The sequence below is a fragment of the Homo sapiens genome, chromosome 7 (assembly GCF_000001405.40).
Source record: "Homo sapiens chromosome 7, GRCh38.p14 Primary Assembly".
Taxonomy (NCBI): domain Eukaryota; kingdom Metazoa; phylum Chordata; class Mammalia; order Primates; family Hominidae; genus Homo; species Homo sapiens.
The window spans coordinates 74021655-74038913 of record NC_000007.14 but is presented as its reverse complement, the minus strand read 5'-3'; the positions used below and the strand labels follow the sequence as shown (position 1 = coordinate 74038913).

The 17259-nt window shown below is 55.5% G+C and overlaps 1 protein-coding gene across 55 annotated transcripts in view, besides 4 other annotated features; it reads right to left on the bottom strand.

Moving 5' to 3' along the window:
• Positions 1-10741, bottom strand: part of ELN (elastin) — a 41735-nt gene extending 30994 nt beyond the window's left edge. For 37 of the 55 annotated variants that reach the window (XM_011515868.3, NM_001081754.3, XM_011515876.3 and 34 more), the window contains exons 1-4: positions 10645-10741; positions 3500-3550; positions 2330-2359; positions 1175-1207 (exon numbers count right to left, since the gene is read on the bottom strand). In XM_011515868.3, the coding sequence (XP_011514170.1) occupies positions 1175-1207; positions 2330-2359; positions 3500-3550; positions 10645-10726 (196 nt within the window). In that variant the 5' untranslated portion in view covers positions 10727-10741. The remainder of the gene's footprint in view (positions 1-1174; positions 1208-2329; positions 2360-3499; positions 3551-10644) is intronic. The other 18 variants (XM_011515869.2, XM_047419955.1, NM_001278914.2 and 15 more) reach the window with 1 other exon arrangement.
• Positions 4494-5121: an enhancer, noted in NCBI's record as "H3K27ac-H3K4me1 hESC enhancer chr7:73448123-73448750 (GRCh37/hg19 assembly coordinates)". NCBI's record gives its function as "activates a minimal SCP1, AML or CMV promoter by ChIP-STARR-seq in naive H9 embryonic stem cells {active_cell/tissue: H9 hESC(naive)}" and the evidence as "EXISTENCE:reporter gene assay evidence [ECO:0000049][PMID:30033119]".
• Positions 5122-5749: an enhancer, noted in NCBI's record as "H3K27ac-H3K4me1 hESC enhancer chr7:73447495-73448122 (GRCh37/hg19 assembly coordinates)". NCBI's record gives its function as "activates a minimal SCP1, AML or CMV promoter by ChIP-STARR-seq in naive H9 embryonic stem cells {active_cell/tissue: H9 hESC(naive)}" and the evidence as "EXISTENCE:reporter gene assay evidence [ECO:0000049][PMID:30033119]".
• Positions 9414-10385: an enhancer, noted in NCBI's record as "H3K27ac-H3K4me1 hESC enhancer chr7:73442859-73443830 (GRCh37/hg19 assembly coordinates)". NCBI's record gives its function as "activates a minimal SCP1, AML or CMV promoter by ChIP-STARR-seq in naive and primed H9 embryonic stem cells {active_cell/tissue: H9 hESC(naive and primed)}" and the evidence as "EXISTENCE:reporter gene assay evidence [ECO:0000049][PMID:30033119]".
• Positions 11358-12330: an enhancer, noted in NCBI's record as "H3K4me1 hESC enhancer chr7:73440914-73441886 (GRCh37/hg19 assembly coordinates)". NCBI's record gives its function as "activates a minimal SCP1, AML or CMV promoter by ChIP-STARR-seq in naive H9 embryonic stem cells {active_cell/tissue: H9 hESC(naive)}" and the evidence as "EXISTENCE:reporter gene assay evidence [ECO:0000049][PMID:30033119]".

Here is a 17259-nt window from a genome sequence, read left to right as displayed (position 1 = left end):
CCTGGCCTTGCAGAGCCCTGTAGACCCCAGGCACCCCGTTCTCCCGCCTCTCCTGGCTCCAGCCCTGGTGTTTCACAACCCAGATGGACTTTTAGCGCAGGGGAATCTGGGTCTTGAAGATTCATTTGCACTTGGATTATCAACTATCAGGATTTCATAAGAGCTCTTGGACATCTAAACTGTGTCCTGGAGACTTGGGCTTCTGAGCCAGGGCAACACAGCTCAGGGTGTGGGGCGGCCAAAGTCACATGTGGAGCGTCTCATGCCGAGGGACCATCAATCTGGACAGAGACGCTGTTTCCTCCACCTGCTCCTTATCCGCCAGTATTTCCCGGAGGGACCTGCCCCACCTTCCTTCCTGGGGGTGCATTCCCCAGAGCTGAGAGTGGACCCTCGTGGCAGATCCCAGCCCCTTGGGCGAGGCCAGGATAGATCCGGCCACACCTTCTTACTGGAAAACTCCGTGGTCTGGACACAGCTGGAAAGGGCCTGAGATTAGGAGGGGAGCTTATCCGGGGCCATGGTCGGTGCTCAGCTTGGGCTTGGGGTCAGGGCTTGGCCTAAGGCCAGGATTGGGGGTCCTGTGGGACCAGGGTCAGCAGGGTCAGGGTTCAGCCTGGGATTAGGCTCAGGGCTTGGGCTGGGGTTAAGCTTTGGCTTGAGACCAGTGCTCCATCTGGAGTCAGGAGAAGGGCTCAGAATGGCATCAAGGTCAGGGTGATCTGGGGTATTGGTCTGGGGTCAAGGGCTAGGGGACCACTCAGGGGAAGTCTGGGGCTGAGGATCTGTGTCTGAGCTCCCGAGGGTCATGTAAGGCTTGGAGGCCACTGGAACCGGAGCAATCCCTGATGTTGCCTCTAACAGCCTCTCCTTTGCAGAGAGGAGTCTCTGGACAGCTGGGTGAACACACATGCACATGTAGGGTAGATGCTAGACGCCCTCACACAGGGAGGACATGGAGCTGCTTCCAGCCTCTTGTTCCTGGAAGCCCTGGGACCTGGCCCCGGCCTACTCATCCTTGGGAGGCTAATCGGTGTCCACACCTCCCTCCTTCCTCCTGCCCGTTGGCTTCCTTGTCCTGTTCCTAGTTTCCTTGTCCCATTCCCAGCTGGGTAGGCTCCTCCCTCCCCAGCTCCCTCGCTGTCTCTCAATGCTCCGAGGCCTTGGGTCTTACCTGGCTTAAGAGGTTTGCCTCCAGGCCCCAGCGCTGCAGAGGGAAGAGAAGATAGTGAATGGGGTGGCCCAGCTTATCCATCTACTACTTATCCAACCCCCAACCCGGGCAAAGTGTGGGCAGTGTGGAATCACACACCCCAGGTCCTCCCGCTCAGACTTGGAGCCCCTGGGAACCTAGCTCTACTTCTAACTCGTGGTTTATACTCTCTGAGTCCCAGAGTCTCAGCCTCAAAAGGGGATGATGGGCTGGGGGTGGTGGCTCACGCCTGTAATCCTAGCACTTTGGGAAGCTGAGGCAGGCGGATCATCTGAGGTCAGGAGTTTGAGACCAGCCTGGCAAACATGGTGAAACCCTGTCTCTACTAAAAATACAAAAATTAGCCAGGCGTGGTGGCATGTGCCTGTAATCCCAGCTACTCAGGAGGCTGAGGCAGGAGAATCACCTGAACCTGGGAGGTGGAGGTTACAGTGAGCTGAGATCGCGCCACTGCACTCCAGCCTGGGTGACAAGAGCAAGACTTTGTCTCAAAAAAAAAAAAAAGAAGATGGTGCCTGCTCAGCCGGCTTGGCAGGGAGGTTTTTGAGGATAAAAAGAAATAGGAAGGGGCCGGGCAAGGGGCCGGGCAAGGTGGCTCACGCCTGTAATCCCAGCACTTTGAGAGGCCGAGTCAGGCAGATCACTTGAAGTTGGGAGTTCGAGACCAGCCTGGCCAACATGATGAAACCCTGTCTCTAGAAAAAATACAAAAATAAGCTGGGCGTGGTGGCACGCGCCTGTAGTCCTCGCTAATTGGGAGGCTGAGGGAGGAGCATCACTTGAACCTGGGAGGCAGATGCTGCAGTGAGCTGAGATCACGCCACTGCACTCCAGCCTGGGCGACAGAACGAGACTCTGTCCCCCCGTCCTCCCCCACCAAAAAAAAGAAGAAATAGGAAGGCAGAGGGCACCAGACATAAAGTCTAGGGGAGGGACTGGGAAGGCCAATGGGTTCTGGTTCTCAAAGAAGCCTCCTCCCACCGCCTGGATGCTGTCTGTGAAATGAGGGAGTCCTTGATGCTCGGGTCTCCCAGGGTTCTCAGGTCTGAGGATGCATGTGGCTCGGGTGAAACCCAGGCCCTTTCAGTGATGAACAAGTGTGGTTTCTGAGCTCACCTCCTCCTCCAAGGGCTCCGAGACCAGCCCCTGTGGGGGGAGAGAAAGAGAAAGAGAGATCATCGGTACTTCTGCCAGGCAAGCCCGCTGCCACCCCCAGCTATGGCTGAATCCACCTCTGCCTAACTACGTGACCTTGGGCAAGACCTGCTCTCTGCAAGCCTCGGTTTTCTCTTCTGCTTGGCCAGTAGTCCAGTGTCAGTATGTATCTGGGGGAGTGCTGGCGTCTCTCCCCACTTCCAGGTCACTTCTGTACACTCAAATGCTTTTTTTAATTTTTTAATTTTTTTTTATACGGAGTCTCCCTCTGTCGCCCAGGCTGGAGTGCAGTGGCGCGATCTCGGCTCACTGTAAGCTCCGCCTCCTGGGTTCAATCACATCATTCTCCTGCCTTAGCCTCCCGAGTAGCTGGGACTAGAGGCTCTCGCCACCACACCTGGTTAATTTTTTGTATTTTTAGTAGAGACAGGGTTTCACCGTGTTAGCCAGGATGGTCTTGATCTCCTGACCTTGTGATCCGCCTGCCTCAGCCTCCCAAAGTGCTGGGATTACAGGCTTGAGCCACCGTGCCTGGCCTCAAATACTTTTTAAGTATTGAAAGTATTACTTTTGATTTTTCTTTTCTTTTTTTCCCCTTTTCTTTTTAGAGACAGGGTTTTACTCTGTCACCCAGACTTCAGTGCAGTGGTGCTATTATAGCTCACTGCAGCCTTGAACTCCTAAGCTCAAGTGATCCTCCTGCCTCAGCCTCCCCAGTAGCTAGGACTACAGGCGTGCACCACTATGCCCAGCTAATTTTTTTTTAATTTCTATACTTCATTTTCATTTTTCTCAATGCAGAACATGGCTAATTTTAAATTTGTGTGTGTGTGTGTGTGTAGAGAGGGGGATCTCACTATGTTGTCCAGGCTGGTCTGAAACTCCTGGCCTCAAGCAATCCTTGTTTCTCTGCCTCCCAGAGTGTTGAGATTACAGGCATAAGCCACCATGTCCAGCCTGTATGCTCTTAATAGCTGTAAATCAATGTCTTGTTAATTGCATTTTTAAGTGGGTGTGACTTCTGGTAGGCGTGTCAATGTTCCTACCTTCTGTAGTGTCAAAATGTGCATCTATTATGGACATCAGCATCATCCGCATGACCTGGGTGTGTGGAAGTTTCATGTACGTTACCTGGATAAAAGACTCCTCCAGGAACTCCACCAGGAATGGCCCCAGGGACCCCTGAAAGGAAACAGGTAGAGTCAGTCCTCCAGGAGCCAGAACTATTAGGCTGGTGCAAAAGTAACTGCGATTTTTGCCATTACTTTCAATGGCAAAACCCACAATTACATGGAAACAAGAATAATGCTGATGGCAATAATGACATTGCTTGTCTCCAGAGCAGTTTCTGTTTACAAAGTGTGTTCTCATTCTTGCTCTTTGAAATCGGCCTGTGAAGTTGGAAGGGCAGGGCTTACTATCATCATTTTGTTTTGTTTGAGACTGAGACGGAGTCTTGGCCTTTCACCCAGGCTGGAGTGCAGTGGTGGGATCTCAGCTCACTGCAACCTCCGTCTGCCTGGGTCAAGCGATTCTGCTGCCTCAGCCTCCTGAGTAGCTGGGATTACAGGTGCATGCCACCAAGCACGGCTAATTTCTGTATTTTTAGTGGAGACAGGGTTTCACTATGTTGGGCAGGCTGGTCTTGAACCCCTGACCTCAAGTGATCTGCCTGCCTCGGCCTCCCAAAGTGCTGGGATTACAGGTGTGAGCCACCGCTCCCAGAGACTATCATCTTAAGACATGAAATCAGGCTCAGAGAGGTTAAGGGACATGCCTGGGGCCACACAGCTGGAAAGAGACGGGGCCTGGATTGAAGCTCAGGCCAGTGCTTTATTTTTGAGACAGAGTCTTGCTCTGTCACCCAGGCTGGAGTGCAGTAGCAAGATCTCAGCTCACTGCAACTTCTGCCTCCTAGGTTCAAGCGATTCTCCTGCCTCAGTCTCCCAAGTAGCTGGGACTACAGGCGTGCACCTCCACATCTGGCTAATTGATTTTTTTGTAAAGATGGGGTGTCAGTATGTTCCCCAGGCTGGTCTGGAACTCCTGGAAGCGATCCTCCTGCCTTGGCCTCCTAAAGTGCTAGGATGACAGGCCCCTGCGCCCTGCTGCCAGTCCTTAGAGTATGATTGTTCTTGCTGTGTTACCTGGTTCTCCCTGGAGTCAGGGAGAGGGCCTGGGGTGGAAGACACTGGGTCTGAGCACCTCTCACCAGGCAGCCCACTCCCTTCCCGAGCTGAGCTGCCGGGTAGAGGCCAGAGCTTTGGGAAGGGCAGGCTGGGCTGCTACAGCGAGCATTAAGGAGGTGCAGCTGCCAGCACAAATGCAGCCATTCCCACACTGATAGGACGGCGTGAGGTCAGCGTCCTCAGCCACTGGGCAGCCGAGCTTGGGTGGGGCTCTGGCCGTCTGACACGGGCTGTCTTAGGAGGCGCCGGGGCCGCAGGGGGACGCCATGAATGAGCACAGTGAATAGTTTCCTAAGGAAAAGCGAATTCACCGGCCAGACAGGATCACGAGTTCAGTCCCCATGGACCAGTGAAGCTCTCACTGGGGAACGCTGTGATGCTGGATCCAGACCCTGCCTGAGCCATCGCCATGGCAACAGACAGGGTCCCAAACCGGGGGCCCTGCCTCCACCTCAGAAGGCCCCCCTCTGAGCTTGACAAGCCACCTTGCCAACGCCCCAGCCCAGCCCTCCCTTACTGCTTTTGCTGAAAGGGGCCGGGAGCCCCGTGGGGCATGGGCGGGGCTGGGGGAACGGGTGTCTCTGCAATGTGTCCAGGGAGGCCTCGCGGCCAGACGTCTGGCCTCTGAGGCCTGGCGACGCTGCACAGCTGGGCTTGCTGGCCCCAGGGCCCTGTCAGCCTCAGCTGCAGCCCAGCAGGGTCAGGGCTGTGGAGCTGTCACAGCCACCGGAGCCAAGACCCCGGCGCCACCCCCTCCCAGGGCTTGTGGCTCCTCAGGCACTGCAGTCCAGGCCTGAAGTGTGCAAGTAATCTGGTCAGAACCTCAAGGCTCGGAGTGGTGGCCCCAGGGGGGCTGGGCCTGCTGAGAAGGAGCACTTGGGCCCTGTCATCCGCTGCCAAGCACACACATGGCCCGCCTCGGGCCTCTGATGCCTTCCCTGGCTCCGGCCTCCAGCTCTCAACAGTCTCTTATGCGTCTTTCTCTGCCTCGGCCTCTCTCCTTCCTCCTCTTTCTCCCCCTCTCCCTCATTCTTCACGTGCCTCTCTCCCTTCCTCTCTACTCTCTGGCTCCAGAGCAGACTGCAGGGAACAGTGTGGTGGAGGTGGGGGGAAGAGCAAAGTGCTCAGAACAGACCCCTCTGGCTTCTAATTCTGCCTTCGCTGCTTCTTACCATCTGTGCGACCTTGGGAAAGTCACTCAACCTCTCTGAACATCGGTTTCCTTTTTTGTGACATGGGGCAGATAATCACTTGGTTGTTGCAAGGTTGCAAGGTTGCTGCAAGGTTGCAAGGTTGCTGCAAGTTGTAAAAGGGTTCAAGTAATAGGCTATGTCCTCTTCTGGACCTGGCAGACAGTAATTGCTCAAAAATAAAAAGACAGTGGCACTTACGTTTCATTTTTTCCCATTTCACTGCACAGTCCGTGGCCCAGGGCCAGGTATGCAGTAGTTACTCAATACATGATGGGTGAATTAAGTAGAGGGGTGGCAGGGTGGTTGTCTGTGAATCCAGCTCTAACCTGTTTCATCCCCATCTGCCCTGGGAGTCCCCCTGCCTTGGGCTTGTTGAGCCCCTGGGCCTGGCTGAACCCTGACTTCCTTTCTCCTGGGGTTCTGCCCTCCTGCACCCCAGGCACTTTCTGGGGGGAAGACTTAGCTTCCCCTCCCCCAGATCTCCTCTGTCCCCACTCTCCACCCCCACCGTTCAGACCCTGATGATGGTGGCATTTGCCAAACTTCATGCCTGAACCTGACGGCCTGGGGAGCCCGAGGTTTTAATCCCCACTTTGCAATGAGGAAATGGAGAAGGTTTAGGGGCTACGAAGGATTCCTGCCTCTCTGCAAGTGAGAGAGGTGAGAATAAAATGACAGCAGCTGGAAATTGGAAAGGACTTTGAAAAGGTAACAGCTGCTTCCCCAGGCCCCGTGGCGATCCTCACTTCTCCCTCCACTCCTTGGCACAAGCCGTTTCTCCTGCCAGGAATGTCCTTGCCTCTGTCCAAGTCCTACCCCCGCACCAGGGCTGAGCTCAGACTCTCCCGCCTGCCTTTCCCGAGCCCACGGCTCTCCCTGACTGTGCTGCTCAGCTGGCCCTAAGCAGTTGGCCTGGAGAACACTTGTCTTGTTTTATGTGGTTTTGGCATGTTTCACCGACTAGCCCAGGGTGGAACTTGTCTCTTGCATCTTAGAATCACGATCCTAGACTCTCAGGGATCATAATAGTCTTCTGGCCTGGGCTGGACCTCCTTCCACAAACATCCTTCGTGTTCTGCTTGCATACCTCCCATGATGGGAAAATCACCACCTCCAAATGCTGTCAGCACTAACTGCAGACAGGGCTTCCTCCAATCGAGAATCTGCTCTTCTGTCTCTTCAGTTCTGCCTGCCAGGGCCTGTAGTCTGGGGACTTACCCCTCATCCACAGACAGGTCCTCCAACATTTTCCTTCCTTCCTTCCTTCCTTCCTTCCTTCCTTCCTTCCTTCCTTCCTTCCTTCTTTCCTTCCTTCCTTTCTTTCTTTCTGTCTCTCTCTCTCTCCTTTCTCTCTCTCTCTCTCTCTTTCTTTCTTTTTCTTTCTTTTTAAATATTCATTTATTTTTTAAATAGAGACGGGGGCCTTCCTATGTTGCCCAGGCTGGTCTCAAACTCCTGGGCTCAAGCAATCTGCCCATGTGGGCCTCCCAAAGTGCTAGGATTACAGGCATGAGTCACTGCACCTGGCCCCATTTACTTTTCTCTTTAGGTTTAACTCAAATGTCACTTCTGCTGGGAAGCCTTCCTGGATTTCTCAAGGCTCCTTCTGGCCACCCCCAACCGAGTCCTGTCTGCTTCTTTCATCATTGCACATCTATTTACACATTAGCTGCCCCTCCACTAGACAAAACATGGTGTAAGTAGTGAGAGGGAGTATTAAACCTTAGCAATGTGCACTAATTACAAGGATCCATGAGCCCAAATTAGCAGACTCTGAATAAGAGAATAGATTATTTTAAAAATGCCCATTCCCACGGTCCTTTTATTTGATGCTTTTTTTCCCCCCAGATATTACATTGCTAGAAGCTCTCACTGGCCCTAGGAGGTACTTCAGGCAGGGCTGTTTCTCCCCATTTTGCAGCCAGGGAAATGGAGAACCAGTGAGCTGAAGAGCCTGGTCTGGGACCCCCAGCTGACCCCAAGTCACATGTAGGGCCATTTGCCTGGGCCCTGGGCTCCAGGTTCAAAGAGCTGGAAGCAGCCTGTTTGGGAGCGAGCCTGGGGCCAGCCGATCTTGGCAGGGGGCTTTGCCAAACCAAAGTCCAGGGGGCTGGCTTGGGGAGCAGATAAGACCACACGAAGCTGTTTGTTGTTTGCATGCAGAAGGCTGCCAAGGGTTTTCAAAAACAAGCTGTCCTCCACTGGGTGACTGTGTCCCCTCCCACACAGGGCACATTTGCCCTCATGCCGGGGCCTCGGCAGACACACAGAGCGGGATCGACCTCTAAACCAGTGCTTCTTGGCCCTGGCGACCCCACCGTCACCTGGGAAGCCTGAAAAGTCTGTGTCCAGGTCCCTCTCCAACCAAAGCAAGCAGGGATTCTTGGGTGGGAAGTCTAATAGATAGCCAGGTTGAAAACCCCTGTTCCTACTTAAGGACGGAAAACAATAATTAAAAAAATATTTAAAAAGAGGCAGTGGCTCATGCCTGTAATCCAAGCACTTTGGGAGGCGGAGGTGGGAGGATCACTTGAGCCCAGGAATTCAGACCAGCCTGGACAACACAGCGAGACCCTGTCTCAATTTAAAAAAAATAAAAAAGGTAAAAAAATAAAAATAAAAAAGGAAAATAAAAGAAAAGGAAACCTCTGTTCCAAACCATCTTCAGTTCTGAAATCAGGAAAAAAAAAAAAAAAAATCCCTGATACTATTTCTGGGGGATGGGGAAGAATTATCCCTGGGTTAATTTCTCATGCTCACTTTTGAAACAGCCTGGGAGCTGTGCGGCTTGTCCCCTCCTCCTGCTCCCCCACCCCCGCAACAGGGTTCCTTCCTTGGAGCCGCTGAACTTGCATAAGTGACACCCTCCTCCTTGAGGGAGAAGCCAGGCTCCCCCAGGACAGCCAGGTGAGTGGCAGTGAGCATGTGACTGAGCGCTCCACTCCCTGTGTTGGCTCCCCGACCTCTGCAGACTTCAGTAGCACTTCTGTGCAAAACCCCACACGAGCTCATCAGTTCACACACCCCTTATTTGGACCTAGCAAGTCCAGCCACCTGGGACAGAGCTGAGATTGATCTCTGCAAAGTGTGAGGCCAGCTGGGCGTTTAGCGGTGTCACTGAGGACACAAGGAGAGAGCTGATTCTGCCTAGGGCATGCCTGCTTTAAGGACTCAGCCCCAAGCCTTCCCCTCCCCAAATGTTGCCTGCTAGCTCACTCCTAACCCCCTTGCCCCTTGACCTGGGGCAGAGAGCTGGCTGATACTAACCCCCGGGGACTGCCTTAGCCTGCCGGAGCCTCAGCTTCCTTGTTTGTCAAGTGATGATAATAATTTCTAATTCTCAAGGTTCCTTGATGATGAACTGCCACCCTATAGGTGGTGGCCCCATCTGGGAAGAAGGGTGGCTGGGTGTTTGGGGGCTACACCTGGGGAGGAGGCTGAGACGGACCCGGGGCTGCTGCTTTCAGGCCCTGGCTCGTTGCCCCTGCTGGGGCCCGCCTGTGGGTACCCATGTCCCTTGGCCTCATCCAGGTCCAGCAGCGGACCCTGCACAGGAAGCTGTTCAATCTCACGGAAACAGCTGCAGCTCCTGCCCAGGCCCTTGACTCCACCCCGTGGCCCTCCCGCCCCCCACTCAGCGTTTGGTTCTCATGGCAAGGAGGACTCCCGAGGAAACCAGACTCCACCCAGACCCCCCTACCAAATGCCCTCCTTTTTCCCATGCCCGGGAGCCTCTTCTGTCCTCCCCCGTTGGCCGCGGCATAGCAGCCCCACAGGGCACACCCTCAAACCCCATAACCAACTGTGCCTGGGTTGGGGCACATAGCAGATGGCCCAGCAGTGCCCCAGGATCCACTCCAGCCTCTGTCTCAGCCACACTGCCTCTGCCAGGAGACAGACACCTTCTCCAGCCCGCCTTTCCATGCTTGCGTGCCACATCGCACACACATTCACACACACAGATGTACACACTCCATAACACACACAGTGACAGTCCACACCAGTGTCACACCTGGATGCCAGATCGCCCATGTCTACATGTGTACATGTCTACATGTCTGTCAGGTGGCAGACTTTTGCACACACTAAGGAGCAGCTTCATATACCTCCTCCAAACATACGCATACACCTGCCTAAGGATGAACCTGTGAGCAGACATATGTACCCCTCCAGAAATCCCTTTCCCTGTTCAGTGACACAGCCGGGCATCTGAACACATGCACACCTGTGCATGCACACATACACACACGAGCACACAGCACGCTCATTCCTGTGTGCATGCACACACACACACACACACAAATGCATACCAGGAGTCCCTGCCTGCCTCAGCAGGGAGAACACAGCAGCAGCTTCCCAACCTGCAAACCCATCCTCAGCGGAGCCCTGACCTTCCTGACGGGGGGATCCCGGCTTCCCAGGGGTCAAGGAACCTGCTGAGGTCACACAGCTCACTGCGGTTGAGCTGGTATCAAGCCCAGGTTCCCTGTCCCCAGGGCTGGTGTGCACCCCAGCTGTGTCCACAGGTGTGCAGACTGTGGTGTCTCCAGACCCAGGGGTTCCCGCTGGGCCCTCCCCCAGGATGCTCTGATCCCCCTACAGGGCGGGCACCCGGGCACCTGAGCAGGGGCCCCCTCAGCCCTCGCAGGGCAGCAAAGCCTGGATGCTGGGCTGGGACTATTCTGAGTCGAGGGTGTCTCTTTGACAGGTTCCTCCTGGGCACGGGGCTGGCTCCTGGGAGGGGCAGTTCCGAGGACCCAGTGGCTGAGGGGCTCCCACCTGGGACCCCTTGCAGTTCCCAGGGACGAAGGTCTCCCCCTTGAGCGTCTAGTCACCTGGCCCAAAGGGCCCGCAGCTGTGGGCAGCGCTGGGGACAGGGGCGAGGGGTCCTTACCTCCAGGCCGAGAGGGGTGGAGGATGGACAGCAGGAGCAGGAGGACTCCGGGCCGCGGGGCCGCCGCCGTCAGACCCGCCATCTCGGGGAGAAATGCCCCAGCCCGCTCTCCGCACCTCGTTTTATCCCCAAAGCCTAATTGTTGCCTCGTCGGCTGTGAGGGAAAGAGGGAGGGAGAGAGGGCGGGCGGGAGGGCGGGAGAGGGGGGAGGCCTGGGGGAGGGGGCCGCGGGGAGGGGACAATTACGAAAGGCCCGGCTCACAAGCCTCCCAGGCCCGGGCTGCTGGACTGCGAGCTTTTTTCCTTGACACACACACGCACACACATGCACACAAGCACACACTCACACACACACACTTTCCCCCATCTCTTTCCCGCTTTCCCTCTGCGACTGTTCTTTCGCTGCTGGCCCTGTTCCCGCCAGAAAGAGCGAGGGGGGCCTCTGCCAGGACAGCCCTCGGGAGAGGAAGCAGAAGGGAGGGCCTGGCGGCCAGGCCAAAAATCCCAGCCCCAGCCAAGGCCCGAGTGGCCAGGCCCCCGCCCCTCCGGCTGGGCCCCGGGCCCAGTGTGAGGATACGGGCCAGCTGTCCCGCGCCTCAGCCCCCACCCCGGCCCTCCAGACTCCCCAACACCCCCAGGTCTGGCTAGAGACAGGTTCTGCCCAAAGCTGGGGAGGGGAGGCATTGGGCAGGTCTGGGGGTTTGGGGGGTGCGATGTCTACAGAGGCCGGGGGGCTGCAGGTTGAATGGCCTGGAAGGTAGGCCCGGGTTGGTATTGCTCTGGGAGGGATCTGGGGGGAAGGTAGGGGACCCTGGACAGGGCTGCATTCTGCAGGGGCCAAGGTCTCTGCCTAGCGCCTGAAGCTGGGGAGGAGGTGTTGGGTGGGTCTGGGGTGGATGCCTGCAGATGCCAGGGGGTTAGAGGCAGGGGAATGGCTTGGGAGTTAAGGCCATGTTGGTGCTGTCCCCAGGGGCATCTGGAGCACATGGAGGATCCCGACACACAGGGTTCTATTCTGCATGGGTCAAGGTCACAGCCCTATACCCAGCCCCATGCAGGCCGCAGGGTCTGGTAAAAATCAGGCTGGATCCCCAGGTGCCCTGTGGGGGAACAGGGAGGTGGGAGCCCCCCGCAGACTGACAGGCAGCCCAGCTTCCCATTATCACTGGGTCACCTCCCATCCCCACGCTGAGCACAGCTAGCGCCCACACCAGTCTGGGAGCTTCTCGACTGCTGTTCTCCCGGCCCCTCTGGGAAGGCTGACATTCCGCTGGTGGCCAGGAGGGGGCGGCCTGCACTGAAACAGCTGGGACCACGTTCCTGGAGAACTCTGCATTTCTGCCCCCAGGACTGAGCTGGACGGGGACCCTGGGGGATTTTGGGGGTTGGAGTGTGGGATGGAACAGGGGAGGGTCGTGTCCCCCACCCCTCACTTCCCACTACTGCTAGAGGAGAAGAAATGTGAGACCTAGAGAATAGGAGAGGGAAACTTGTTCCTTGTCCTAGGTCACAGCCAGTCAGGGAACAGCATGGAAGCCACACGCCCTGTGGGCTTTTCCCTGCACCACGATGGCTCCGAGGGATGAGTTAAAGACCCCTTGTGGAGGCAGGAGCACTGTGGCAGTCTGGAGTGCCAGCAGGGGTGGCTCAGCGTGGAAAGGTCAAATGCAGGCATTGGTCAAAGGCAGGTATTGGTGGACCTAGAAGTAAATTTCTGGCTCTAGCCTTTCTGGTAGGAAAACCTCTCCACAGAGCATCAGTTTCCTTATCTGTCTACAGGTGATCAGTATTCCTAGCTAAGAGATTATTGCAAAGACAAATACAACGTGGTCTTGTATTTCTGCTAGATCAAAAATGCTCTGTGTTCAGCTGGTGCTAGGACTGGTGTCAATACCACAGTTGCCGTCACTCGCTCTGCAAGTACTCTGCTTCTAGGACAGCTATCAGGCTTTGGTCTATACGGGGCCACCCCAGGACCCTGGACAAACCCTTCCTTTTCCCTGGGTCTTTGGAGGGAGCAGCTCTGGAATTTTGGAAGGTAGGGGCATGCTGGGAGAATTGTCTTGAAGATGTACGCACACAGCCAGTGTACAGCTCTTACTTACGGTGTGTGTTTATTTGGGGGTGCTTTGAGGGTAGCTGATGGAGATTATGCTGGGGTGAAAGCCCCCCCAAGCCACCCTTTGTTGGTGGGGTTAGGGGCTGCTCAGGGGCAGGGTCTGAAGCTCGATGCCCAGGATGTGCCTGCTGCAGGGGAGGGGAAGTCAATGGTATATCTGCGTGCCTCCGCCTGCCTGGGAAGGAGGAAGGCAGGGGCTACTGTGGGGAGCTGGACCCCTCTCTTCTCGAGGCAGTGACACGGGCAGGAACCAGCTTTCAGACTTGCAAACCGCAGTCTGCACAGAGTCTTTATTAATTCCAGGACGGGGAGAGAGTCCGGAGCCAGGGGGAGAGAGTTTGCAGTGGGGGGATCCAGGAGGGGTGTGGAGGGGCACTCACAGGAATAGACTTGAGGTGGCTGGAACAGACCTCTCCCCTGAGGCCGGGGGCCCTGTGTCCTGCCCCCAGCCTGTGCGCTGCTTCTGCTTAGCAGCCTCTGCTCATTGCAGGAGCTCCACGAACATAACATGCAACAAGATTGCAAAAGGGGGCCTCAATTCACAATCAAATCCATTGCACTGAATATCCATGCCGTGTAGTCTGATGCATAAGATACATAATGTAAGAACTAGAGATGACAGTCATCGGCCACCATCCATTCATTCATTCATTTACTTGTTCATTCAAGACCCCATCAGTACTCAAATGCTTAGTGTCACCTCCTTGCCTAGCTGTATGACTAAATAAGGTCATACATGCAGAATTGCCCACAGAGGGCTACCGGGTGCACCTGGCTGCCTGGTGATCGTTGGTCTTGCCGTTATCATTGACAAGCCTTTCCCGCTTGTTGCCTGGCTCAGTGCCACCAAGGGGCAACCAGATGAGTCACCCACAGGGCATCTCTATCTTCCAGCTCCTCTGGGTGCACCCATTTTGGTAGGACAGAGTTCCCAGTCTCTGGATGGCTCTGAGAACATCGTGCTTTGCTCAGACACCCTCCGTCGCTATCCAGACAAAGTTCAGATTTTTTTTTTGAGACGGAGTCTCGTTCTGTCACCCAGGCTGGAGTGCAGTGGCGTGATCTCCGCTCACTAAAATTTCTGCCTCCCAGGTTCAAGCAATTCTCCTGCCTCAGCCCCCGAGTAGCTGGGATTACAGGCATCCGCCACCACTGCCAGCTAATTTTTGTATTTTTAGTAAAGACCGGATTTCACCATGTTGGCCAGGCTGGTCTCAAACTCCTGAGCTCAGGTGATCCGCCCGCCTCGGCCTCCCAAAATGCTGGGATTACAGGTGTGAGCTACCGCATCCAGCCCCTCCTATGATCTTAAATTTACTAGTAGCCATATGAAATAAAAGAAAACATAAGTAAAACTATTCTTAGTAATATATTTAACACAACATATCTAAAGTATAATCCTTTCAACATCCAATCAAAATAAAAGTTATTGAGATATCTTGCATTCTTTTTTGTACCAGGTCTTAAAACTGGTGTGTATTTTGCATCGAGGGTACGTCTCAATCTGGACTTGTCACATTTCAAGTGCTCCATTAGCCACATGTGGCCAGCAGCTGCCACCGGGGACAGCACTGGTTTAGATCATAAAGGACTGGTGAGATGAGCTAGCCTTAGTTCTTTTTTGGTGGTTTGTTTTCTTTTTTGAGAGGGAGTCTTTCTCTGTCACCCAGGCTGGAGTGCAGTGGCACGATCTTGGCTCACTGCAACCTCCGCCTCCCGGGTTCAAGCAATTCTCCTGCCTCAGCCTCCTGAGTAGCTGGGATTACAGGCACGCGCCACCACGCCTGGCTAATTTTTGTATTTTTAGTAGAGACGGGGTTTCTCCGTTTTGGCCAGGCTGATCTTGAACTCCTGACCTCAGGTGATCCTCCCGCCTCGACTTCCCTAAGTGCTGGGATTACAGGCGTGAACCACCATGCCCAGCCAGAGCTAGCCTTAGTTCTGATGCGCTTGGAAGGGAATCTGAATCCTGCTATGCAGAGGTTCAAAATGGGACGGGGCTTGAGGACAGGGGAGAGGGACAGAGAAGGAAGGATGTCCTTGGAGGCTGGCAAAGGGCACCCGTGACAAGCAGCCCCAAAGGAGTGGCCCTGCCCTCGTGCTGGTGACTGAGCCAGAGAGGGCGGCTACCTCCTGTGGGGTGCCCGGCAGCATCGGCCCAGAGCCAGCACCTCAGCTGGAAAATGAAAGGGACTTCTGCAGTTCCTCTCTTCCCAGAGGCCACCAGGGACCCCTCGGATGGCCGGCCAGGAAAGGAAGGGGTCTGGCGCAGGCACAGGTGTCAGAGGTAAAGGGACTGCAACCGAAAATAGATCGAATGCCCATGGGTCTGGGCCATTTGCTGGGTGTCCCTTCATCACACAGAGCCAGCTCAAAAGAAGGACAGGCTGTGCTTCGAGGGGGTGCGTTGGACGTTGTGGGAGGGAGGCTGAAATTCTGGAACTCGGTGCTTCTGCAACCCCCCAGGCTGGGAGTGGGTTCGGAAGGGTCAGCAGTCGTTGTTGTGGTTGTGATGGGGACTGATGTTGATTAGTGTATGAGTTTGGCCAGATTATCTAATAATAATGAAGGATGGTGACATCAACAGTAATTGACCCCTAGAATCCCTGGTTTCGTCCTATGAAGACAGGATCTTCATAACCATTTAAGAGTACAAACATATCTGTAAGAATTTGGTATACAGCAAGTGCTCAAACATGGGAGGGGGTCCATGACACCATTTCAGGCCACTGATCATGGCTGGGTGGAGGGGTAGGCATAGCAGAAAGCCCCATCCCTGTGAGTGCTGCCCCCTGCAACCTCCGGGCCATGCCGTGTTTCCTCTTAGCCCCGGGCGTTTGTGTGTCTGAGTCATTTGTCAGTCTGGATCTTTGGCCAGTGTGAGCCGGGGGTGGGGAGGTGGGTGTCCCGGACGGGCTGTTCTGCCCTGTGCTGTTCCTACAGTGCCTCACGGGCTGTCTGTTGCCATCTAGAGGGGAACATCGTGAGCCGGCCCTCCTCTGTGCACCCCCTTCCCATGGGACCCGGGATGGAGGAGTCCAGAGCACGCCTCTTGTTTGTTTGACACTTGACCGTTTGCAAAGCACACTTCCATTTTCCAATGGGGATATTATTATGCCGGTTAACAAGCAGAAGGGTTAGGAGTCCTGTCTATAAACTCGGCCCCACCAGAAAGAGCATCTTGGTGTCTGCCTTAGATCTGTTTAATTTAATTTAAGCCAATGTCACACGGGTAGGTGGCAGTGAATTCCATCCCAGTTACTGGGTCTGTCTTCCTCCACTTCCACCCCCCACCAAAATCCAGGCATCTTAGATGGAGCCTGGAGATAGTAGGGGCCCTGACTCCCTGACTCCCTTGTTGGAGCCTGTGTGCTCGTGTGCACCCCAAGACTGTGCTGGAATCTGAGGCTGGGAAGCTCGGGGCTGGACCACCTCCAGAGGTGCTTCCAAGGGAGTGGCCTGCAGGACATTCTGTCATCTCCGGGCTGGCAGGAGATGCTTCCAGTCTAAGATACTCACTCTCATCTCAAAGATGACTTTCGGCGGCTTTTTGCTTGCAACGTGGAGAGCCGCTTGGAAAGTGGCAAGAGGGGAGGGTTATAGGGTGGATAAGAACAGATATTCATGACTCAATAAACTATCCTGCCACACAGGTGAGGAAACGGATCCTTGAGGAAACACATGACCAGCGGAAGGTCACCCAAAGGCACTGTGACCTGGAGCTCAAGCCTCTAGAGTATTTCACTCCTCCAGCCACACTGCTTTAGGGTGGAGCGATGATCTCTGTTCGGCTCCACACCTGGAAAGCAGAGCCTTCTCTTCCCTGGGCTGCACATGTTGTGGGACCCAGGGCCGAGCTGCCTGCTCCCCTGAGCTGGCTCTAGGAACCAGTGGGCAGAGCTGCTACAGCTCTTACCCCACCCAAGCGCCCTCCCTCGAGCCCTTATCTCCCTGGCCTCCCGCAGCCCTCCATGCTCAGGAGCCCTTCCAAGCGCCTGAGCCGGGAACACTGCCGGGTCGGGGGAGCTCTCTTCCTCCTGGTTTTGCCCGTCTCCGTCCCCACACCACGTTCGGCTGCTCCCCGCCCTGGGCAGAGCCCTCCACCCATGCCCGGAACCCTCAGCTGGCCTGATCCCTGTGGCGCCAGGCGGGTCCTGCAGGGCGGGCAGGGCAGCTGCCAGGATGCTGGGTGGGAGGCAGGCGAGGCTGGGCCAGGGGCTCCTGCTGGGCCTGGGGTGATCCACTTCCTTGTTCATTCTGTTCTCCACATTTCTGAGTGGCCTGCTCTGGCAGGCATTGGGTTTGGGGAGGGGAGACAGGCATAGAGGACAACAGCACCTGCAGTCCTGGGAACGGAGGGTCAGAGCCTGCAGGAGGGGAGGCAATCAGGAAGGCTTCCTGGAGGAGTCGATGCTGGAGCTGAATCCTGTTCCCGTCTCCCAAAGGGAGTTGCTTTCCGGTGGTGTACGCAAAAGCAGGAAGGCTGAAGGCAGCCC